The sequence below is a fragment of the Homo sapiens genome, chromosome 15, assembly GCF_000001405.40.
Source record: "Homo sapiens chromosome 15, GRCh38.p14 Primary Assembly".
NCBI lineage: Eukaryota > Metazoa > Chordata > Mammalia > Primates > Hominidae > Homo > Homo sapiens.
In genome coordinates this window covers 32,258,741-32,284,141 of record NC_000015.10, presented here as the reverse complement: position 1 = coordinate 32,284,141, position 25,401 = coordinate 32,258,741, and the positions used below count along the sequence as shown (strand labels likewise).

The following is a 25,401-nucleotide window of genomic DNA, read 5'->3' as shown; positions in this document are numbered from 1 at the left end:
TTTTTTCTTGGACTGAGTTTGCTAACATCTGTGACATAAGGTTAAAGATGCACCATTTAGTGTCATTTTGCCCCCAACTCACTCTGTGACAACTTTTGGTGCCATGAATTTCCAGAGGGTGGGATGCACGTCTTGCTAACTGCAGCATCACCCCAACAGAGCAGCTCATGGTTATTGGCCTGAAATGGGAATTTTGATTAGGAACTAAGGAAAGGGCATCTCATTTCCTAGCTGTGAGCTTCTGGACAGTGGGGCTGTGTCTTTTGTCATCTTTGGGCTCCTGTTCTCCTTTCCACTGAAACATGGGCCAGTGGCTACCTGGTAGCAGTCACTCAGAAGTGTGATCCAGATCTCATTGTGGGTGGGGAGATCGAGGCACATAAAGATGAAGTGGCCTGTCCCCAGGCGCATAGCACCTGCCCCTGCTCCACTCACAGATACTGGGCGTTCTGTGCTAACAGGGGCACCTTCTGGGCAAGAGGATGAGGGGAGCACTGAACACCTCTCTCGAGAAATTTTTTTTCTTCTGTCACACATGCATACAAACAACAACCGATGAGCTTGTGGTTTGTCTTCAAGGTTCAGGAAGACTCAACTTTTCCAGCAGAAAGGACAATGATGCCTCAACAGAGCCGGATGACTCTCGATGGCCATGCCACTTAACAAAGCGTGGCCACCCACTTGTTCACCTGCAGCCTGAGGAAAGGAACAGCTGCAACACCTGCCAGGGACTTAGGGGATGAAGCCCTGGAGGCTGATCAGATATCCTCCTCTGGAGGTGGAGCCACATGGCTAATACGCCACTGGACACAGATGTGTGCAGTTTTGTGTTTGCTGTGGGCTGTGATGCAAATCGCATTTTGTAGTCCCCATCTTTGGAGATGCTCCAGACAGTCCCTCGGAGAAAGACAGAAATGGATCCCTTTGTTCTTTCTGTTCTTTCCAGGCAACCTGCCTCTGAGGGGAAGAGGGCCCAGACATAGGATGCTGGTAAGCAACTACTGTAATTGTCAGCGTAAGGGGCTGGAACTCAGGTTCCATCCTGCACACTTGCACAAGCCCACCAGTGGGATCAAAGATGAAGGGTGGCAGCGATTGGAGAGGTCAGGATAAGAAGATTCAAGATGCCAGAAATCTGCAACATGAGATACAGCCCAGGCTCTGGGCTCGTTCCTCCAGGGCTGCGTCGCTGCGTAGCTGATGTGGCCTGTGAGCTGGGCCTCAAAGGACATTGCATTTAAAGCAGAGGAGAGGAGGAAATTTTTGGGAGATAAGATGGGATTTACAGAGACACCAAAAGAGCAAAAGAAAATAATTCCTGATGGTCTGAGCACATAGAGAGTCACCGTGGAGGAGACTGGACATTGGTACATATCCTACAATGCCTGCCCCATGGCTCTGGCCTCATGCCATGCCATGCAACATGGCACCTGGCATCTCAGTCAACAGATGTCCCAGATCTCAGTCGTTGGCATTTATTACCAAATTATTCTGCCATCTTATATTCAAGTCCTTCCAAAGCCTTTCTTGTTGTGGGAGGGGGAGAATCTTATTTTTTAAATTTTATTTTAGTTATTTTATGTATATAAGTTGTACATCATGATGGATTTTTTAAATACATTTAATTGTGTATGTTTAAGGTAAGCATCATGATGTTTATATATATATATATATGTGTGTATATATATATATATATATATATATATATATATAGTAAATTGGTTAATATAGTGAAGCAAATTAATGTACCCATGTTTTGTGTGTGGGGCTGAAGTATCTACAATCAACTCATTTAGCAAAAATCCTGAATACAAGACACTGTTAGTATTGGCGGTCCTCATGCTTTACATTAGATCTCTAGACTTGTCCACCCTCCTTATCTGCGACTTTGTAACCCTTGACCTACTTCTCTGCAATTCCTTCCTGCCACACTGCCCCTGGTAACCACGGTGTAATTCTCTATTTCTGTATATTTGAATTTGTTTAAAAGATTTTACATATGAGTGAGATTATGCAATATTTTTCCTTCTGCATCTGACATATTTACTTAGCATAATGTCTTGCAATTCCATCCATGTTGTGGCAAATGGCAGGATCTCCTTTTTTGAGGCTGAAGGATATTCCTTTGTACATATATATCACAGTTTCTTTACCCATTTGCCTGCCAATGAACATTTAGGTTGTTTCTTATCTTAGATATTGAGAATAATGCTGGAATGGACATGACAGTGAAGATATCTCCCTGAGTGCTGATTTCCTTTCCTTTGGATGCATACCCAGAGGAGGAATTGCTACATCTTATGGTACTTCTAACTTTAATTTCTTTAGGAAGCTCCACTTGCTGGTGTCAGGTGATAACGCATAATGGTTTTGATTTGCATTTCCCTGAGGATTAGTGACATTGAGCATCTTTTCATTAACCTGTGGGTCATTTTGATGTCTTCTTTGGATAAATAACTATTCAGATAATTTGCCCATTTTTTAATTGGGTTATATGTTTTTTGCTATTGAGCTGTGTGAACATTTTATAAATTTTGGATATTAAACCTTATCAAATATATGTTTTGCAATTATTTTTCCAATCTATAGGTTACTTTTTCATTTTGTTGATTGTTTTCTTTGCTGTGCAGAAGCTTTTCAGTTTGACATATTCCCATTTATTTATTTTTGCTTTTGTAGCCTTTTGGTGTGATATTCAAAAATTATTGCCAAGGGCAATGTCAAGGACCTGTTCTCCTATGTTTTCTCCTTGGAGTTTTATGGTTTCAGATTTTACATTTAGGTCTTGTATCCATTTTGAGTTGATTTTTGTGTATGGTACAAGGGCCCAGTTTTATTCTTTTGCGCATGCAAATCCAGTTTCCCCAGCATCATTTATTGAAGAGATTATCCTTTTCCCATTTTGTCTTCTTGGTGCCTTTGTCAAAAATTAGTTTACTGTATATATATATATAGATTTATTTTGGGGCTCTCTCTTTTGTTCCACTGGTCTGTGGTCTGATTTTATGCCAGTATCATAGTGTTTTGATTGTTATAGCTTTGCAATCTAATTTAACTCAGGAAGTGTGATAACTCCAATGTCATTTTCTCTTCTCAAAATTACTTTTATTATTTAGTTTTTTTATGGTTCCATACAAATTTCAGGATTTTTTAAATTTCTGTGAAGAATGCCATCGGGATTTTGATAAGGATGCCATTGAATCTGCATATTCCTTTGGGTAATATGGACATTTTAACAACATCAAGTTTTCAGATCCATGAATATGGGTTATCTTTCCACGTATTTGTGTCTTCTATTAATTTTATCAATGGTTTATAATTTTCAGTGTACATGTCTTTTACTTCCATGGTTAAACTTATTCCTAACTGTATTTTTGATGCTTTCATAAATACAATCGTTTCCTTGATTTCTTTTTCACGTAGGTTGTTATTTGTGCACATAAATGCAACTGATTTTGTATCCTTTAACTTTACGAAGTTTGTTTTTTAGTTCTAACATTTTTTTTTTTTTGGTGGAGTCTTTGGGGTTTACTAAATATGGGATCATGCCATCCATAGAGATAATCTGAGTTTTTTCTTTCTGATTTAAATGCCTTTTATTTCTTTTTCTTGTCTAATTGCTCTTGCTAGTATTTCCAGTACCACGCTGAATAGAAGCAGCAAGAGTGGGCATCCTTGCCTTGTACCAGATCTTAGCGGAAAAGCTTTAATTTTTTTCCCATTGACTATGATGTTAACTGTGGCTTTTTCATAGCCTTTTTTATGATGACAAACTTTCCATTTATACCTAAACTGTTGAGAGTTTAAATCAAGAAACAATGTTGAACTTCGTTGAATGCTTTTTCTGCATCAATTGAGATGATCATGTGATTTTTATCTTTCAGTCTGTTAATGTATCACATTGATTAATTAGTATATGTTAAATGAGGGTCCATGTCAGTGATAAATTTCACTTGATCATGATGTATAATATTGTGATGTGTTGTTGAATTTGGTTTGCTAATATTTTATTGTGTTTTTTTCATCAATATTTTCAGCGATATTGGCCTGTAGTTTTCTTTTCTTACAGTATCTGTCTGGCTTAGGTATCAGGGTGATCCTGCACTCATAGAATGTGTTAGGAAGTATTCCCTCTAGGTCTATTTTTTGGAAGAATTTAGGAAATGTTGGTATTAATTTGTCATTGAATGTTTGAAGGAATTTAGTTGCAAAACCATTTGATTCTGGGCTTTTTGTTGTTGTCGTACTTGTTATGAAATTTTTAATTACTACTCTGATCTTTTTATTTGTTATTGATCTGTGTAGGCTTTTTATTTCTTCCTGATTCAATTTTGGTAGGTTAAATTTTTCTTGGAGTTTGTCTGTTTCCCTTAGGGTATCCAATTTGTTGGCATAATATTGTTCACAATAGTCCTTTATGATCCTTTTTATTTCTGAGGCATCTGTTGTAATGTCCTTCCTTTTATTTCTGGTTTTATTTATTTGAGGCTTTTCTCTTTTTTTTTTTTTTTAAGTTTACCTCCGGGTCTGTCGATTTTGTTTGTTTGTTTTTAAACTAACTCTTAGTTTTATTGATTTCTTCTATGGTTTTTTATTCTATTTTGATTTATTTCTGTTCTGATATTTGTTATTCCCTTCCTTCTTGTAACTTTGGGCTTGCTTTGTTCATTTTTTAGCTCCTTGAGGTGTAATGTTAGGCTATTTATTTGGGGCCATCTTCTCTTTTAATGTAGGTATCTATTGATCAGTACTCTTAAGAATCTTAACTTTGGTGGTGCATACATGAACTTAACATGGGTGGTAAATTTATCTAGAACTAAACGCGCCTAAATACATACACAGACACACAGATAAGTATAAGTAACACTGGAGAAATCTGAACAAAATCAGTGAATTGTATCCATGTCAATATTCTGGTGTGATATACTAAAATGGTTATTGCTGGGGGAAGGTGAGTTAAATGTACCTAGGATTTCCCTGTATTATTGTTTGCAACTGCATATAAATCAACAGTTATCTCAATAATAAGTTCAATTAAAAAACCAAAATTTTATGCATATATCAATATGACATGCTTAAAAGAAGACTTGTAAATTTGCCTTTGCAGAAGGAGGGAAAGGTCGTGAGTGATTCCCACTTCTCTTGGAAAGGCCCATAGTTAGCCCATATTCTCTGAGCCCACATGCAGTGTGCTATTCACATCCCAATAATGCCGATTGATAAATGACACACAGTTTTTATACTTTTTACTCGAGACTTTTACAAGGATAAGCTTAGCTGAATTGTACAATAACATTGTAAATTAAGCTATTTGAACTTTATTTTACAAGAAAGCAAAAGTGTTGCAAAATGCCTTGCTAAATGCCCACAGATGGTGAATGATAAGGAGTTAAACATAGCTGTTTGCTCCAAGTCCAGAGCTCCAAGCTGCTTGTACTGTCTCAGCCCCATTCTTTTTTTTTTTTTTTTTTTTTTTTTTTGAGACAGAGTCTTGCTCTGTCACCCAGGCTGGGGTACAGTGGTGCAATCTTGGCTCACTGCAACCTCCATCTCCCGGGTTCGAAAAATTCTCCTGTCTCAGCCTCCTGAGTAGCTGGGATTACAGGCATGTCCACCATGCCTGGCTAATTTTTGTATTTTTAGTAGAGAGAGGGTTTCACCATGTTGGGCAGGCTGGTCTCAAACTCCTGACCTCATGATCTGTCCTCCTTGGCCTCACAAAGTGCTGGGCCACACCCAGCCCAGCCCCATTCTTAACAAGAGATCCTATTGCCCAGATTCAAAGGCTCTGTGGGAAACAAGGATACCATTTACAGTACTGGTGAGAATACAGAACGTTTCTCTTTCTTAAGCCTTGTATAGTCACCACCCCCACATTCATGCCTGCCGCCAGCCTTGGTTGTTGATAATGCCATGAACACTAGGCTCAGGCCATAGAGCTGTGCGGGCTCTAAGCAATGCCCACTCCTGAGATGGGGCTTATCAGCTGCAGAGACCTCCTTGTCCGGGTTTGGAAAATTCCAAGGGTCAGAGTGCAACTGAACTTTTTCTTTTGCAATTTGCACCTGTGGGTCCTAGTGCTACCTCTGGAGTTAGCACTTCTTTCGTATGCCAGTTCTCCCAGGGTCTGCTGGCAGTGTGCTGGAAGTGGCTGGTGCTGCGGGGCAGCTGTGGGCAGAGGACCAGGGGAGCCACTCCTCCTGGTACACTGGGAGATGGAGGTGACAGCCTGAGCTATATGGGTTCCCTTAGCAGCTGACACATTCTCATCTCAACCCAACAAGGATGAAAGATCTACCTTTGGGGAAAGGTGATGGAATCATAGCAATGATGTTCTAGGAATCCAGTTTCTTCATATTTGAGAAAATGACTTACATGTGCAAAAATGTCTATGCTGGAAATAATACAGCTTTATACAATATAGCACTCTGATTTGAAGAACCTTGCCCTGCATTCTCTTGTGTGAACCTGCCCACAGCCATGTGACACGAGCCAGGCAGCACTCTTGCATTTAGAACTTGGCAGAGATAAAAATGAGGCTCCACACCTAATGCTTTCCTTCAGTACTGGATTCAGCCGCTTCACTTATTTTTTTCTGCCAAAACACCACTGTATTTTCAGCCTCCCAGGTACGGGGACGAATTTAAGGCTGCCTGCCCAGTAGACAGTTTAGTGTGGGGTAAATAGCACCATTCTAGCTTCATGGCTTCCCCAAGCCCATCCTGCTCTGCCCCCGGCTGGCCGCCTGTCGTTCCAGCCTCGCCCTGTTTCCCTCCGTCCCCTCTTTAGCACTTGTTCTCTTGGTCCTCATCTTTCTTCCAGGAGGGCATGTCCTGGGTCCCTGTGCCTAGGATCTGTTTCCCTTTCCTGCACTGCCCTTTCTCCTGGCTCTTCTTTTCCGTCGCCCTCCCCCTCCTACCAGCTTGCTCCTTGCCTTAGACACAGACATTGACAGGTCCAGCGAAGAGCGCCTTTGCTGCAGCCCAGTGTGTCCAGATCTTCCCGCACCTGTGCCGCCTGGCGCTGCTGAGGCAGGGACTCCCGTCTCCCCAGGAGCTACCTGGAGGAGGCTCAGAATCCATCCTAAGGACTTTGATGACATATGTGCCAGATCGTGTAGAGGTGTCCAGGTATGCCCCACCATGTGGACCGTAACACAGACACGCGGGATGGATGGACGCGTCCCCCCTTGGAAGTGTCCAGAGAGTGCCAAGGGCAGGCTCTCCATCCTCGCTGGGAGCATAGCCAGCGCCACACACAGAGGCCAGGTCTCAGCTCAGCTTGGGAGCGCCCGGTTCTTTTTACTACTCTGTCTGCCTCCCTTTCTGAGTGTAACAGTTCCTCTCCTTCCTTCTTCACCTCTTCCAATCTGTCCCAAACACCAACTTCCCCAGGGATTCACGTCCCAAATCCTTAACCACCACATGGGACAAGCATCAACCCCGACACGAATCAAGCAGAATCCGTACCAACCAGGACCCCAGAGGTCCCTTCAGGACCTCAGGGAGTAGGGCTGGGTCGGGGGTGTCTTGAGGAAAGCCAGGGTGACCCGAGGCCCTGGGGGAATCTCAGTCTTGTAAAAAAGCGGCTTGGCCACAGCTGTGGTTACCACTCATCTCTCATGAGCGCTCTCATCATGCCTCCCTACTTTCCTCCTTCCGCGAGTCTGCAGGAAGGGTTTTCTAGGCCCCTTTGCCCATTTCCCATCCACTCGGCCTCAGCACAGCCCGTAGCGGCCACCAGAGGGCGCCCCTCTCCTGCAGCTCCGCATCCCCGCACAGCTGAAGTCCAGCCAAGCCCTGGCCTTGGAAGACCCTTCTGCTTTCTAACCTGACAGAGGCGCGTGGAGGTGGGGGGGCCCTCAGAGCTGCAGAATGGACAAAAACTCAAAAAGGGTGTGAATTTCGCCATGAGGTCCGGGTTCCTGGGGCTTCGCTGTTGTTCTGTTTATTTTACCCGAACCCTCCTATACCATCTGTATGAGAAAATATTCTCAAATATTGAATCATGTAGGACTTTTTTTTTCTTTTAAAGGATTTGATATGTTAATGGGTTAATTTGGGCAGAGATACCTCCATCTCCAATCCCCTTCTGTCAATAACAGCTCTAGTTACCATGAGAACTTTTGGGCTTTTCTTAAACAGCCCATTCTCCTGTTCAATCTTTTTGGTAATCAGAATAGCCTCCAAAGGGCATTCTTTTAAAATCCCATAAGATCCTTCATCACTTTTGTCACCATAGAAATAATAAACACATAAATAACCCTCCAAAGGCAAAAAATTTATCAAAAATGAGATATCAGAAATATAAAAATTCAGTGGCTCTTGGTCAGCTGGTGCTGGAAGACCCGTGGCTTACAGAAGAGAGAAGGGACCTCTGAAGTTCTGCACAGTTGTTGAAAAGCCAGATGCAAAATCTGTACCTAAGACTGGTGCGTGAGAGACTCACGTTCCTCCATTTCGAATCTGGTTAACTTGCTATGATTGAGAAGCTCGCTCACAAATCCTCACCCTCTCATTCCTATCCTTTCTGGATTGAGTGAAAGATTTTCAGGTTGTGAAGGCTGAAGAAAATGGCTGCTGACTTCACAACCTGTTTCAGCCAAATTGCAAAGCCCCAAAGGGTCAGTAAAATTCTTGCTGGGCTTCATCAGACATTACATTTCATAGGGGCACGGGAGGAGTGTGCTCTTCTGTCTAATGAAATGTGGGCCTTCAGCCTCACTTCCACTGTGATTCTTGAAAAACATTTATTTCCTCACTAACGGTTCAGTGTTCAGCAACCTGGGAGGTTTGCCCTAGTACTATTCTACAAGGTCACAGGTATACTTTGCAAGGTTCTGCCTCTCTTTCTCTCGGAGAGCTTATTCTCTCTTGTGGCCTAAACCTCACCTCTGTCTGCACATGACACTCAAATCAGTTTTTTTCTGCTTTATGCTTGTGTCTCCAGAGCTGTTTCAATGACTGTATTCGGAGTCTCTGCTTGCAGCGTGCTCTGCATGAGAACAGGCACCAAGCCTGCCTGTAATTGGAAGATCTGCCTGAATTTCCATAGTGAAGGTCTACACTGCCTCCCAGCCCATTCATTCCCTTCATCATTTCATTCCAGTAGTTTTCTAAAGTGTGGCCACTATGTTGTTGATTATGGCAACCCAGCATCCACACAGGACAACAGGGGGCCCAGGGCCAGTCCTGGCTGCTGCTTATATTTTGGCCCCAGGGATCCATCTGATTTTGTCATTGAAGTGCTGGCACATCCATCCCCACTGATGTTTGTCAAATGATTTCCCAGCTCAGATTGGAATCTCAAAGGTAATTTTCACAAAATTGGAAATAGCTCCTCTGATATGTCCCTGAAAACAGTTTTTGTTGCCCATATGGAGGATGTGACAGGACATCACTAGGAAGATGGACAGACTCAGCCTGCAACATCCCCTTTCCACTGCCAAAGTTGTTAGCAATCCAGACAGACTGTCACCTTGAGGCTCAAAGATCATCTTACCCCCAAACACTCTGACGACCTCTCTCCCTGTGTGCCTTGATGCAGGTACTGAGTCTTGCAGCAGAGCAGTGCCAGGCCCTGTGCTGAGGCCTGCCTGCCAGCAGGATTCGCTCCTTCCAGTAACAGGCACTGATTGAGTCCTCCCTGTATCACAGGCATCGGGGAGGAGTGGCAGGTCCAGCTGTCTGTGAGCCAGACACCGTCTCTCTGTCTTCAGCCCAGCTGGATATGGAGAACATTCAACAAATAATTGCACATGTAGTTAATAATTACATTTGTGATAAATACCAGCAAGGAGAAGGATGTGTTGTCATAGAATATGCAACAAGATGGTCTCTGGGACTGGATGGGGGTGGAGAATCAAGAAGTGTATCTTGATGGATGGGCTCAGAGGGGCTTGCAGAAGAGGGACACCAGTGTTCAGGGTCATTTGGTGGCAACGCAGGATTGGCTGGAGCTGCGGTGCTCGTGTTCACCTTGCCAGCTACCATTTCACATCCTGCAGAGGAGGCAGGAGGCAGCCGTGGAGATGGTTTTTCACAAGACAGCAAGGAGATTAAGATGGTGGAGAGGAGGACTAGCTTAATGCTCCCACTTGGACGGACAGAGCAGTGTGTGGAGACTCACATTGTGAACTTCTGCTCCAAGAAGTACCACAGGAATCTACCAAGAAAGTCAAGAGAATCCACAGACCCTTTGAAGGAACTGGATCCCTGCTACAGGCTCCCTGAGATGCCAAAAAACTATGAGTCTGCTTATTTTCTCAGTGGGGAGGCTGGTGGTCTGGGGCAAGTTCTCAGCCCTGGTCACCAGCTGCCTGGAAGTAGACTCAGTGCTGTTGCCGGGGCACAGTGGAAGTAATACTGGCCTCTAGGACTGCCGGCTGCATGGGAGTGGGGTGAGGCCTATGATTGCCGGTTTTCCCCCACTTCCCTGGCAACCTGTGTAATGCAGCAGAGACAGCCATAATCTCCCTGGAAATATAACTCCGTTGGCCTGGGGGCCACACCCCCACAGCAGCCACAGCAAGCCCTGCCCCAGGAAAGTCTGAGCTCAGACATGCCTATCCCTGTCCCCACCTGGTAGTCTTTCTCTACCCTCCCTGGTAGCTGAAGAAAAAGGCCATAGTCTCTTGGGAGCTCTGTGGCCCTGCCCAACACCTGAGAAACCTGAATGCTTAACCAGGTGACCCTAGGCCAAGTTTGCATCCTCCCTCATGCACCTCATGCACCTCATGCACTCTTGAAAGCACCACCTCCTGGCTGGAGGCCAACCAACACAAAATCAGCACAAAGCCAGCACACTAAACAAAAATACAACTAAGGACCCTCACAGAGTCCACGTCACTCCCCTGTTGCCTCCACCAGAGCAGGTGTTGGTATCCACAGCTGAAGACCTGAAGACAGATCACATCATAGGACTCTTTGCAGACACTCTCCAGTACCAGCCTGAGCCTGGTAGCTCTGCTGAGTGGCAAAAAATAATCACAGCGGTTTGGCTCTCAGGAAGTCCCATCCCTACGGGAAGGAGGAGAAAACCACATAAAGGGAGCACCCTGTGGGAAAAAAGAATCTGAACAGCAGCCCTTGAGTCCCAGATCTTCCCTCTGACATAGTCTACCCAAATGAGAAGGAACCAGGAAAACAATTCGGGTAATATGACAAAACAGGCTTCTCTAACACCCCCAAAAAATCACACCAGTTTAACAGCAATGGATATAAACCAAGATGAAATCACTGAATTGGCAGACAAAGAATCAGAAAGTTGATTATTAAACTATCAAGGAGACACCAGAGAAAGGTGAAGTCCAACTTAAAGAAATCAAAAACATGATATAGGACATAAAGGGAAAAATCTTCAGTGAAATAGATAGCATAAATAAAAAACAATCACAACTTCTGGAAATCAAGGACACACTTATAGAAATGCAAAATCCACTGGAAAGTCTCAGCAATAGAACTGAACAAGCAGAAGAAAGAACTTCAGAGCTCGAAGACGAGGTTTTCGAATTAACCCCATCCACCAAAGACAAAGAATAAAGAATTTTAAAAAATGAACAAAGCTGCCAGGAAGTTTGGGACTATGTTAAGTGTCCAAACCTAAGAATAATTGGTGTACCCGAGGAAGAAGAGAAATCTAAAAGTCTGTAAAATATATTTGAGGGAATAATTGAGAAAAACTTTCATGGCCTTGCTAGAGATCTAGACATCCAAATACAAGAAGCTCAAAGAACACCTGGGCAATTCATCACAAAAATATCATCACCTAGACGCATAGTCATCAGGTTATCAAAAGTCAAGATAAAGGAAAGAATCTCAAGAGCTGTGAGGCAAAAGCATTAGGTAACCTATAAAGGAAAACCTATCAGATTAACAGCAGATTTCTCAGCAAAAACCCTGCAAGCTAGAAGGGATAGGAGTCCTATTTTTAGCCTCCTTGAACAAAACAATTATCAGCCAAGAATTTTGTATCCGGCGAAACTAAGCTTCAGAAATGAAGAAAAGATAAAGTCTTTTTCAGACGAACAAATGCTGAGAGAATCTACCACTACCAAGCTGGCACTACAAGAACTGCTAAAAGGAGCTCTAAATCTTGAAACACATCCTCAAAATACACCAAAATAGAACCCCCTTAAAGCATAAATTTCACAGGACCTGTATATCAATAGCACAATGAAAAAAACAACAAAGTATTCAAGTAACAAATAGCGTGATGAATAGAATACTACCTTACTTCTCAATACTAACGTTGAATGTAAATGGCCTAAATGCTCCACTTAAAAGATACAGAATGGGGCCGGGTGCGGTGGCTCATGCCTGTAATCCCAGCACTTTAGGAGGCCGAGGCGGGCGGATCATGAGGTCAGGAGATCGAGACCATCCTGGCTAACACGGTGAAACCCCATCTCTACTAAAAATACAAAAAAATAGAAAAAAATTAGCCGGGCGTGTTGTTGGGCGCCCTCAGCCTGTGAGAGGCTGAGGCAGGAGAACGGTGTGAACCCAGGAGGCGGAGGTTGCACTGAGCCGAGATCATGCCACTGCACTCCAGCTTGGGCGACAGAGCGAGACTCTGTCTCAAAAAAAAAAAAAAAAAAAAGATACAGAATGGGCCCAGTGCAGTGGCTCATGCCTGTAATCCCAGCACTTTGGGAGGCCAAGACAGGTGTATCACCTGAGGTCAGGAGTTCGAGAACAGCCTGGCCAACATGGTGAAAACCCAAATACAAAAAAATTAGCTGGTCATGTGGGTGCATGCCTGTAATCTCAGCTACTCAGGAGACTGAGGTGGGAGAATTACTGGAACCCAGGATGGAGATTACAGTGAGCTGAGATCATGCCACTGCACCCCAGCCTGGGTGACAGAGTGAGACACCATCTCAAAACAAACAAACAAACAAAAAGGAATGGCAGAATGGATACAAATTTACCAACCAAGTTTCTGCTGTCTTCAGGAGACTCAGCTAACACATAAGCACTCACATAAACTTAAGGTAAAGGGGTGGAAAAAGATATTCCGTGCAAATAGAGACCAAAAGTGAGTAGGAGTAACTATTTTTATATCAGACAAAACAAACATTAAAGCAACAGCAGTTAAAAAAGACAGAAGGCAGTTTGTGGGGAAGAGGGGGCTTAGGGAGCACATAGCACTGGGCAGACCTGGTGGGGGCAGGAGGGCTGGAGAGTGAGGCTTGGAAGTTTCCTAATTCCATGGGCCAGGGTCCTGCCAGTGTTTATCTCTACCTTTCAAAATCTGTACTATCATTGGAGTCAAATGTACATTTGCACACAAAAACTAAACAAAGAAATGAAAACAAAAGTCTGCCCCATGTCAAACCAACATCTGGGATGCCTGCTCAAAGCCAGCTCTTGTTTCTGTTTCTTCTTCTGTTCCTCTGGAGGATCTTCTATCCCTCATTTCTTGATTTAGATACTTTCTATTATTCCTTGCCTCTTCTCTCTTTCCACTCCCTCTCAATTTTTCTTAGTTATGGTCTGATTTTTACTTCTTTTGCCTTTAAAACTTTTTATGAGTTGTGTGAGCATATTTTTCTGGTTGCACCAATTTGACAGTCTCTCTTGTCTCCCTTTTATCTGAGATGAGGAAATATTTTTCCCTGTGCTTCCCTTCTGCTAGTTTCCGGAGCTGTACCTGACTTTCACATTTATGACGTTTTAACTCTTACACTCCTATTCCTTAATCCCAAGTCTCCTGGGCTTGCTCTAGATGTTGACTGAAAACTAAGAAGCAGCCTTCACAATATTAGGAGGATTGTCACTGCAAACAGGAGTGTAGTGCACTTGGCTGCAGATAGAAGGACCTGGGATTCCCAGACTGATACATCTAAGAAGCACATACTAAAATTCAAAGTCAAGTCAAATGAAGTCTCAAACACTTTTGTAGCCTATCTAAAGGTATAAAGCAGGGATTCGCAAATATTTTCTGTACAGAATCAAATAGCAGATATTTAGGCTTTGGGGCCATAGGGTGTCTGTCACAGCCACTACCCTCTGCTGTTGCAGAGTGGAAGCAGCCATAGAAACTGCAGGATAAAATAAGTGTCATGAGTTCCAACAAAACTGATTTACAAAAAGAGGCCACTGCCAAACCCTGGTCCAATGCAGAGGATCAAAAACCCCTGGAGGGCTTGCTGAAGGCAGATTGCTGGGTGCCATCCACAGTTCCTGATTCAGCAGGTCTGGGGTGGCCTAAGGATGTGTATTTCTAACAAGTTTCCAGGAGGTGTCCATGCTGCTAGCCCATGGCATGTGCTTGTTGCTTGGCACTAAAGCATGACTCTCTTCTACATATTTGTGAGTTTCCTAGAATTCCCAACATTTTCCCTTTGTTTTAAACTTGTCCTCTGACTTATCACCAAGATTTTCCACCATCGTGATGCTTTTGCTTTCACAAGTCTGCTTTCTTCTTAAACGTTTCTCCCTAGCAACATTTGCACCTGCACTCCCCTGACCTTGCACTGTGGTAGACCAGTTGCTCTCTAAGTCTGCTGCTCAGTTGTCATCTGAGATAGTCCTTTATTGTCTTGAGGATGGGGCTATGTCTCCTTTTGTCTAGGATTTTTATTGGTTTTACTGCAGAATATCATCAAGGATTTATCTTTTTCACTGAAGATGCATAAAGGGTAAACATTCTGAGGCCTAGGATGACTGAAAATGTGTTTATTTGGCATCGACACTCAGTATAATTTTTTTTTACCAGGTGTAGAATTCTAAGTTGAAAATAATTTCCTCTGTGGACTTTGAAGTTACTGCCTCATTGTATTCCAGTGTTACTAATGAGAAATCTGATGCGAGTTTGACTGTGATTTCTTTACAGATGCCCTGTTTTGTTCCTTCTCTTCTGAAACATCACAATGATGCATTTAGGGGTGGGTGATTTTTTTATATCTCCTGATCAACCGTCGGTGACTTTTTAAGTCGAGATGCACGCAGCACCTCCTCATAGCTCTGGAAAATGTTCTCCTAATAGGCTATTCTTTGATCATTTCATTTTTATCAGTTTCTGTATTTTCTCTTTATGTAACTCTTTGGACTTCCTGGATTTAAATGCTCTTATTAAACTTTTTTTCTCATATCTCTCTTCATGTTTTCTCTTTTTATGTACATGCTGACAGTTGTCCTTCAAGTTTTCTTTCAGACATCGTATCTTTATTGTAATGATTATATTTCTAATATTTAAGAATATTTTATTTTCTGATTTCCTCTTTTTCATTGACATATGCCCTTGTTTAATGGGTGCAATATTGTCCAGCTTCTCTTTAAGATACAAGTTAGAATATTTTAAAAGTGTACTACATTTGATGAATTTTTGAATTTTTGCCATCTTTCTCCTGAGTCAATTATTCTGTTTATGCATCTTGGCCTATTATGAATAGAATGTTTGTGTCTCCCCCAGATCCACAGGTTTAAGCCATAATGCCCGGTGTGGCTATATTTGGAGGTGGGGGAGGGGGTCTATAAAGAACTAAAGTTAATAAGATCTTAAGGGTGGGGCTTTGATCCGAAGGGATTTGTGTTCTTATAAGAAGATACACCCCAGTGCTCTCTCACAGCATCTCTCTGTCTCTTTTCATGCAAGCCCCAAGGAAAGACCATGTGAAGACACATGGAGAAGGTGGCTGTCTGCAAGCCAGGAAAAGAGCCCTCACCAGGAACATGTTGAGAGAAGCAGTCACACAAACGTAGTCTTTTGACCTCTGTACAGTTGCATAGGAGTGTGCCTTGGGTTAGGAACATTTTCTTACAAAGAGATAAAGAGCTTTCACAGCCTGCGCTGTCCATTACCCTTTATGGGGAACCTCTTTCTCTGTTCTGGACTGGAGGCGTACTTCTTCGTTCTACTAAAGCATGTGCATCATATGGCACCTGAACGACCCCACTGCTGGGAACAGGGGCCTTTGTCTATAGCATGAGTGTGTGGAACATCTCCCTGTGCTGGCTGTGGGGTGAGACCCACTGGCCATGAGGGATCAACAGTCGAAACTGAAGCTGCTCTTGCTCTGTGTCTTCTCTATGTGCATAAAGCGTTGTTCCATCCAGTGCCTGCATGAGTCGTGCCTGAAAATCATGTGGTGGGTTGACGTCTTGGGATTACTGCTCCTGGAGGCAGGCATTGTTATGCTTTCTGTTCTCCACTGTTTAGTGGGACTCTGCTGCTGGAGGTGGTCACAGGTGTCACTTGCTTGACTTGGACTTCCAGCCTCCAGAAACTTAATCTTGAACTTGCATCCTCCATCACTGTGAGAAAAAATTTCTGTTGTTTGAAGCACTCAATCTATGACATTTTGTGATGTCAACCTGAGCAGACTAAGACATGACCCCTCTTTTGTATGTAATTAGGTTTATTTAATATTGAATGGACTTTGTTGATCCTCAGGTTTATTCCCCTACCCCTGGATGACAGACTGCAGACTGCTGCCCCCATACAAACATGAGGGTAGCTTTATTTGTAAGAGCTGACATCCACATAGGGAGCCCTAACACTCCCTCTGCAGTCCAGTGACAATTATGTTGACTGTCAGTGAATGTCCAAGTCAGTGTGTGTTCAAGGGGCAGCCAGCTGACATTTGCCTGCAATGTGGATGTGGCAGCACATCCTGCCAGTGTGGCAGAGGGGGGACCCTGGCCTCAGCATGGGAATGTTCCCTGGAAGGCTCAGTCCTTTCATCATTCAGGTTATCATGGCGTCATCATTCGTGTAATGTACTGTGAGGCCATGTGGCCCTCACTCATATATACCTGACATGTGACACAAATTCACTGTTTGTTTTATTATAGAATTTTTTTCACTTAATACAAAGTGGAAAACTTATAGAAAGCACAAGCATATTTCTGTGTGTTCTCAGTGTCTTTGGGCCATAGTTTCTGCAGAATATCTTGGAATTGGTTCACTTGGAGCATAATGCCAGAGCAGCATTTTCCTAACAGATATCTCAGGGTTGGTGAGGCACCTCCCCTTGTCAGAGAAAGAGCACTGGACACTGTTAGAGGCAGCAAGACAGATTTCACTCAGACTACTGCAGTAGGGCAGAGAGGCTCCAGTATGAATCAGTTTAATTCCAAATAAGACAAAGGTGACTGGGGTTTTCAAAGGGAGATCTGATAGGGCACACAACGAGATTATGGGAAGTAAAAAAAGGGGGACCAGAAAAGAGACTGGGGGCTATAAGTAGGAAGCTACAGAGTGGAGTTGCAGAGGATTACTGAAAATGGTTTGGCCTTGTGGGTTGGGACAATTTACATCTGGCAGTTCAGGAGCATTGCATTTTCTTGAGCAGAGACTCACACAAGAGCTGTGTCACTTTTAGGCACATGACTAGTGCAGGTAGAAGCCAGGCTGAAGTGTGGCCAAGGATCTCAGCACTGCATGTGGGCAAGTCCTTTGGGTCATTGGGAAGTTCACAGTTCACACCCCAACCCAAATAAAACATTTGGAAACAAAAACATTTGGAAATCACGCAAGGTCTATCTTCCCACTTTCCCACCTGTGGACATATAGGAAGTTTTGCATGAAAGAAACTTTGTTTTCTGTCATGCAACATTTCTCAAACATTCTTGGTATCCTACACGAAATCTATTTATATCCAACATAACTAATGTTCTGAGGAACCCACTTTATGAAACAGGATTTTGTACTGCTATTAGTGGTGAGTCACAATAAGAAGGGAAAGATACCCAAGCTCGCATTGTGAGAGGTCATACAGAGATGGGTCCAAATGGAATCAGGAGTTGAAAGGCATAGAGATGTCCCTAGAAACTGGAGGAGACCACCAAGTTGTTCTAAAGCCAGGAGAAGAATCTAACATTGGCCTGAAAGCTAAAGCCTACCTGTGGGTACAAATTGGACAAAGGATACTTTGCTGGACAGTCAGAAATTCAGCTGTGGAGCACCAGGCTGGCAGTGAGCTCTGCCCTCAGGCACGCCACATAGGCAGCACCAGGACTGAGGACATCTGAGGCTGAGAACGGATGTAAGAACCATCTTGGGTGTTGTAAGATGAATTGCATCCCCCCCAAATTCAGATGTTGAAGTTCTAACCACCCCTTTGGTGCCTCAAAATTCAGAACGTGACTGGATTTGGAGCTAGAGTGTTTAAAAAGGCAATTAAGGTTAAACGAGGTCATATGCCTGGGTCCTAATTCAATATGACTTCCGTCCTTAAGAGGAGATTAGGATGCAGTCCTGCACAAAGGGAAGAACAGGCAGAGACAAAGGAAGATAGCAGCCATCTACACATCAAAGAGACAGGCCTCAGGAGAAAGCAACTCTGCTGACACCTCGATCTTAGACTTCTAGCTTCTAGAATTGCGAGAAAATAAACTTCTGTCACTTAAACCACTCTGTCTGTGGTATTTTGTTATGGCAGCCCTAATAAACTAATACACTAGGGGCACAGAGCAGGTGGGGAAGCCAGATGCAATCGGTCAAAAGAAAAAAAAACTATTTAGTAGCCAAAGAAGACAGGTGCAAATAAGCAAGCCACGGTTAGAGTCTACAACAGTTAGCTTAACTCTGAGCCTAACCCTAGCTGGCCAAGAGACACAGACCATCATGACAAGGGACTGGGGGACTGGACTTTCCAGGAGGACTGGAACACAGGACAAAGCAGTGGGCAGGACCCAGCTCCCCTATCAGACAGGGAAGAATCAGAGACTTGTAGCCACAGGGAGCTCTTCAAAATTCATGCTGGAGCTGGAACCAATCTCAAGATATGAATTGAGTTGAGAGATGTGAGATATTTAAGATGCTGATCATAAAGTTATCATGTCTGAGCCTGGAGCAGAGAGTACCGGTGACATGAAGCAATCCCAATTGTTTTAGATGATTTAAATCTATGACAATTAGCCTTATCTCTGTGTTCATCACAACATTTGGACATGACCATGGCGAAGAAATTACTGCCAGTTGTACTTAATGGGCTCAAATTCAAGCTGAAGTTTTAAAACATGAAAATAAGAAGATTTTATTAATATATAAATTGTAATGTTTTCAAGGGAGAGTTAGCATCACAGTCCCTTTGCAAAATGTTGTCTAGGGAAGCTCAATTTAAGTGTTTCTCATTGGGCCAATGGAGACTTAACAGAAAACACATCTTGACAATAGATTTGGTCTGTTGAAATGATGACGTTTGTTGGCCAAGGACTGAGGATTCATGCTGTGCACTGCCAAGTCCTATGCTCTTCTTCAACTCTGCTACTGCCTGCTTTTCATTGTCGTCATTGGTTCTTCTTCCAGAGTACAAAGAAGAAAAGAACATAGGGCAAAAAGTGCTATTTGTGACTTTTTAGCACACATAAAGTAATTATAAGTAGGCATGAAAGCAAGGCATCCCAGAGTTTGGAAAGTTTAATAAACACACTTTAGTTAAAGTGTAGGTAAGTGGGTAAGTATGCAAAGTTAGACTTAAAAAAACAGACCGTGCAAAAACAAGACAAAATTGCATTTTAATTGATGATATTGATCTACCTGAAGAAGTAATGTGTCACTTAGAAGAAAAGAGTCCAGCGTGGATTACAAGAAGACATAATCAGAGATGCAAGTTGAAGGTCATTTAAGAAAACATGTCAGTGAAGTTCCTTCCAGGCCTGTGCTTGGGGGCCATACACATTCACTGAGTGAACTTACATATAAGACCTCTAACTAATTCCCATTGCTGTGAATCTATATGCACCACAAAACTTTCGGATTCTCATTTGACTTCCCTTAAGTCAGAATAAACTTTCAGTTTTGTGGTAGATAATTTTATTATAAAATAAAGAATTATTTTGCTTCATATATTGGTTTCCTGTCTGCTTGTTATTGTGGATTTTCTTCAGTGATGGCCCTCAGCCTCTACTGAGGCACAAACAAAACCAAGTTTTGCTATGGCAAAGGAGGTGGCGACTGTGAAATGCTCTAGTGCATGCAACTCAGGACTGCTGGGGAGGCACCGGTTTGGAGCAGGCATGCAGGCATCCCTCTGCTGGTACCCTCTCACCTGACCTAGGCCTGCAATCCAGAACAACGCTTTTGGGAAGAAAAACTGATGTCTGGAACTGATAGGGAACCTGAAGAATTTATGTGGTTTATTATTGTGTCTGTGCCTTGAACTCTTTTTAGCAAATAAAATCTAATTGAGTTTAATTGAATTGAACATGGATACATTACATAGATAACATTTTCTAAGGCTACAGCTGCCATAGATAGTGATCGCTTTGATGTATCCAGGCAAAGTAAATAAAAAGCCTTTTGGAAAGGACTCACCATTCTAGACGCCACAAAGAACATGTGTAATTCATGGGAGGAGGTCAAAATATCAACATTAACAGGAGATTGGAAGAAGTGTATTCCAACCCTAAGGATGATTTTGAGGGGTTCAAGGCTTCAGTGGGAGAAGTAACTGCAGTTGTGGTGAAAATAGCAAGAAAACTAGAATTAGAAGTGGAGAATTGCTGCATCTCTTGATAAACTTGAATGGATGAGGAGTTTCTTCTTATGAGTTACCAAAGAAAGTGATTAGTTAAGATGGAATCTACTCATGGTGAAGATACCATGAACACCATTGAAATGACTACAAAGGATTTAAAATATTACATAAATTTAGTTAGTAAAGAAGTGGCAGGGTTTGAGAGGATTGACTTCAATTCTGATTGAAGTTCTACAGTGGATAAAATGCTATTAAAGGAAACTTGCTTAAGGAAAGAGCCCAGGGAGGGATAACTTAAGCCAGCATTTGAGTTGAGGAGACAGAATTGGGACAGAGTTGGCTCAGGGGAACCAACGTAGCTAGAGTTCATGGGACAGAGTACGAGGGAAGAGACAACGAGAGAGAGAGAGGAAGAAGAAGAGGCAGAGCAAAAGGAAGAGGAAGAGAAGAGAGGAAGAGAGGAAAGAAGAGAGAGACATTGAACTCCAGATATCTGCAAAGATGTCACTTGAGTCTCCAGGTTAGTATTGATAAGTGCATGTGTATGAAAATATCCAAGACCAAAGTACAGTCTAATGAAGTAGGCATAATAATTTCCAGGGATCACATGGAACTAGGGATATTTTGTTTCTATCAGCCAGAAAGGCAAACTGTTAAAATGCATGACACATTGGGTACAGTAATCGGAAATATATTGGCTCAGTAACAGAAAAAAAAAATAGCCCTTGATTAAAGGTTTGATCTATCCCACGTAAGAAAGATTAAAAGCAAAGCTAGAAAAGATCAGATTTGTTTCTAAATAACTTATCTGCGTCCTAAAACAAAACTAAAAAATTTTTTTAAATACAGTAATGTATTAACACATACTGAAACTCAATACATACAGAGAAACGAAGATAAGAATAAGAAGTCCAAGTGCAGCGGCTCATACCTGTAATCCAAGCACTTGGGGAGGCCAAGGCAGGGGATCACTTGAGGCCACGAATTTGGGACCAGCGTGGGCAACACAGCAGAACCCTGTCTTTACAAAAAAAAAAATAATAATTTTTTTCCTTTTTGGTAGAGACAGGGTTTTACTGTGTTTTTTCGGGGGGAAGAAAAACTGATGTCTGGAACTGGCAGGGAACCTGAAGAGTTTATGTGGTTTACCATTGTGTCTGTGCCTTGGACTCTTTTTAGCAAGTAAAATCTAATTGAGTTTAATTGAATGTGTTCCCAAATAAAAGGCAGAGATTTTCAGATTGGGCAGAGAAAGTAAAACCAACATCAAAAAATTAACCTTCAGTCCCAGCTTACTCGGGAGGCTAAGGTGGGAGGATCACTTGAGCCCAGAAGTTCAAGGTTACAGTGAGCTATAATTGCACCACTGCACTGTAGCTTGGGTGACAGAGCAAGACCCCATCTCTAAAAAAAGAAAAAAGAAAAAGAAATCAGCTGGACATGGTGGCTCATGCCTGTAATCCCAACCCTTTGGGAAGCCAAGGCATGCGGATCACCTGAGGTCGGGAGTTCAAGACCAGCCTGACCAACATGGAGAAACCCCGTCTGTACTAAAAATACAAAACTAGGTGGGTGTGGTGGCGCATGCCTTTAATCCCAGCTACTTGGGAGGCTGAGGCAGGAGAATCACTTGAACCTGGGAGGCAGGCAGATGTTGCGGTGAGCTGAGATTGCGCCATTGCACTCCAGCCTGGGCAACAAAAGCGAAACTCCATCTCAAAAAAAAAAAAAAAAAAAAAAAAAGAAAGAAAAAGAAAAACAACAGTGAAATAGTGGAAACAATAAGCCAGAAGATAGTGGAAAAACATCTTTCAAGTACTGAAGGAAAATCTGGCAACCTAGAATTCTGCAACCAACAAAAATAGAAAAACCAGAAATTGACTTTCTCCATAAAAGCAGATAGGAATGTGCATCTACCTAAATGAATGAAGAACACTGGAAATGGAAATGTGTGTGTTAATATTTGGGTGAATACAATGACATTTTTATATTTTGAAATCACTCTGAAAATAGATGATTAAAGCAAAGTAACCATGTATTTTAATTTTAAAACAAATTCAGAAGTAAAATGTGACAACAATCATGCAATAATGGGAGAGGAAAATGTAAGTATACAGTTGTAAAGCTCTTATACGAGATTTGAAGTGGTAATATTATTTGAAATCAGACTTTCATAAGTCAAGATGCACATTATAAACTAAGAGCAAATAGCCATGAGTGAAAAAATAACTAAGAAGATAAATTAAAAGTATGAAAGGTGCTCAGTTGACCCAAGTGAAGGCAGAAAAATATAAGAAAGGAGAACAAAGAACAGATGGGAAACTATATTAATATCAAGGTATATTTCAGGACAAGGGATGGTGCCAAGAAAAAAGAGGGTCTTTCATAATGATTACAGGAGCAATTCATCAAAACAATATAATAACCCTAAATGTTATGCTCCTAATAACATAACTTCAAAATACATGAAGGAAAAAAATCTGAGAATTACAAGAAGAAACAAATTCACATTTATAGTTGGAGATCTCAACATCCCACTGACAATAATCAGTGAGAAGTAGATAGAAAATCAGTAAAAATATAGCCAACTTAAGCAACATTACCATAATCCTGACCTAATAGACATTTATAGAATACTCCATCATACATATTCCTTTCAAGTGAACATGCACTATTTACCAAAATAGACTATATCATAAACCATAGAAAAATTCTCAATAAAAAAGGACTGAAATCATCCACAATTCTTCTGACAACAATTATATTAAATTAGAAATGAGTAACATGAAAATCTGAAAAATCTTCAAATATTTGCAAATAATAAACATGACAGCAGAAATCAATGAAATAGAATAACAATCAGAAATAAAACTAAAATCCACTTTTTAAAAAGCAGTAATAAAATTAGTTCATTATTATCAGGAATTAAAAAGGGACATCACTACAAATCCTACAACTATTAAAAAGATGATTTTTAAAGTATTATAAACACCTCATTACGGTAAGTGTGGTAACTTAGATAAAGTGGACATATTTCTTGGAATATCCAAATTATCGAAGCTCTGAGTAGCTCTGTATCTATTTTTAAAATTGCATTCATAGTTAAAATATTCGCACAATAAAAATTTCAGACGTACCTGGCTCCACTGATTATTTCTACATTCAAGGAAGAAACAATAACAATTCTCAAAGTTTAGATAAAGAAAAAGGGATCAAATCATTAGTCTGGGTTCCTACCTCAAGAAACTGAAAAAAGGAGAGCAAAATACATTCAAGGTAAGCAAAAGAAAGGAAATAATAAAGATAAAAGCAGGAATTTATAACACTAAAAATATAAAAACAATGGAAGAAAACCAATAAATCAAAAGCAGCTTTTTTGAAAAGAAAATAAAAAATGATAAACATCTAGCAAGTTGACAAAGATATAAAAGAGAGAGACGTGTCACCAGTATGAGGAAGGAAACAGGAGTTATTACTGCAGATCATGTAGCCATTAAAAGAATAAGGGAATATTATGAACAACTTCACACTCATAAATTCAACAACTGAGAAGAAATGGATCAATTTCTCAAAAGTCACAAGCTATGAAACTCAATCAAGAAGAAATAGAAAATCTGATTAGTCTTACAATCATTAAATTAATTGAATACATAATAAAAATCTCCCGCAATGAGATGTTCAGGCCCTGATGGTTTTACTAGAGAATTCCACCAAACATTTAGGAGAGAATTGACACAAATTTTATGCAATCACTTCCAGAAAATAGAAGAGAAGGAAACACTAACTCATTTATGAAGTTAGTATTACCCTAATACAAAATTAAACAAAGAGTACAAAAAACCCCCAAACTATGGACCAATATCTCCCATAAACTTGGATGCAAAAATCCTCAAAAGTATTAGCAAATCAAATCCAAATGCATAGAAAGAATTACACGTTTGACCAAGTGGGATATATTCCAGAGATATATATCTGGTTCAATATCTGAAAATCAATTAATATAATAATTATATCAATAGGCTAAAGAAAAATCATATAATCATATAGATATCCTCAGAAAAATATGACACAATCCAACACTCATTCAAAAGACACGCCTATCACTCGGGAAATTGCAGTTCTGTGCCAGGAACCAGGGACAAAAACCAAATATATTTCATCTTGTGTATCCATAGGTTCTGCATCTGTGGATCCAACCTATCATGAATCAAAAATATTTTAAAAAAATGGAGTTCGTATTGAACATATACAGACTTTTATCATTATTGCAAATAATACTGTATAAGTATAATAATTATTTACATAGTGTTTACATGGTACTAGGCAATATAACTAATAATAGAGATGATTTAAAGTATATGGGAGGAGGCGCATAAGTTATATGCTAATACTATGCCATTTTATATCAGAGACTTGAACACCTGGGGATTCTGATTGTCAGTGGGAGGTTCTGGAACTCTGCCCCATTGATATCGAGGGATAACTGTACATGAAGTTGACGCTTGAACAATGTGAGCATCAGGAGCTCCCCTCCCCGACATATATGTGGATTTTTGTGCAGTCAAAAATCCACATATGACTTTTGACTCCCCAAAGCTTAACTACTAATACCCTGTTGAGTGGAAGACCTACTGATCACACAAACAGGTGAGTGAAAAAATCTTTGTATGTTATATGTATTATGTACTGTATTCTTACAATAAAATAAGCTAGAGAAAAGAAAATGTTATTAGGAAAATCGTAAGGAAGATAAAATATATTTACTATTCATTAAGTGGAAGTGAGTCATCATAAAGGCCTTCATTCTCATTGTCTCCATGTTGAGTGAGCTGAGGAGGAAGAGGAAGGGAAGGGTTTGGTCTTGCTGTCTCGGGGTGGCAGAAGAAAATCCACATATAAATAGATTTGCACAGTTCAAACCCATGTTGTTCAAGGGTCAATTGTATGCATATTTTATTAGATACACAATAAGG

General features: G+C 41.4%; 1 long non-coding RNA gene across 10 annotated transcripts in view, besides 2 other annotated features; it reads left to right on the top strand.

Annotated features, from left to right (window-relative positions):
- LOC102724078 (uncharacterized) overlaps positions 1 to 25,401 on the top strand; it is a 187,103-nt gene that overhangs the window by 58,926 nt on the left and 102,776 nt on the right. The gene's annotated exons all lie outside the window — the stretch shown is intronic.
- Positions 7,001 to 7,501: an enhancer, noted in NCBI's record as "H3K4me1 hESC enhancer chr15:32568842-32569342 (GRCh37/hg19 assembly coordinates)". NCBI's record gives its function as "activates a minimal SCP1, AML or CMV promoter by ChIP-STARR-seq in naive H9 embryonic stem cells {active_cell/tissue: H9 hESC(naive)}" and the evidence as "EXISTENCE:reporter gene assay evidence [ECO:0000049][PMID:30033119]".
- Positions 17,946 to 18,485: an enhancer, noted in NCBI's record as "NANOG hESC enhancer chr15:32557858-32558397 (GRCh37/hg19 assembly coordinates)". NCBI's record gives its function as "activates a minimal SCP1, AML or CMV promoter by ChIP-STARR-seq in naive H9 embryonic stem cells {active_cell/tissue: H9 hESC(naive)}" and the evidence as "EXISTENCE:reporter gene assay evidence [ECO:0000049][PMID:30033119]".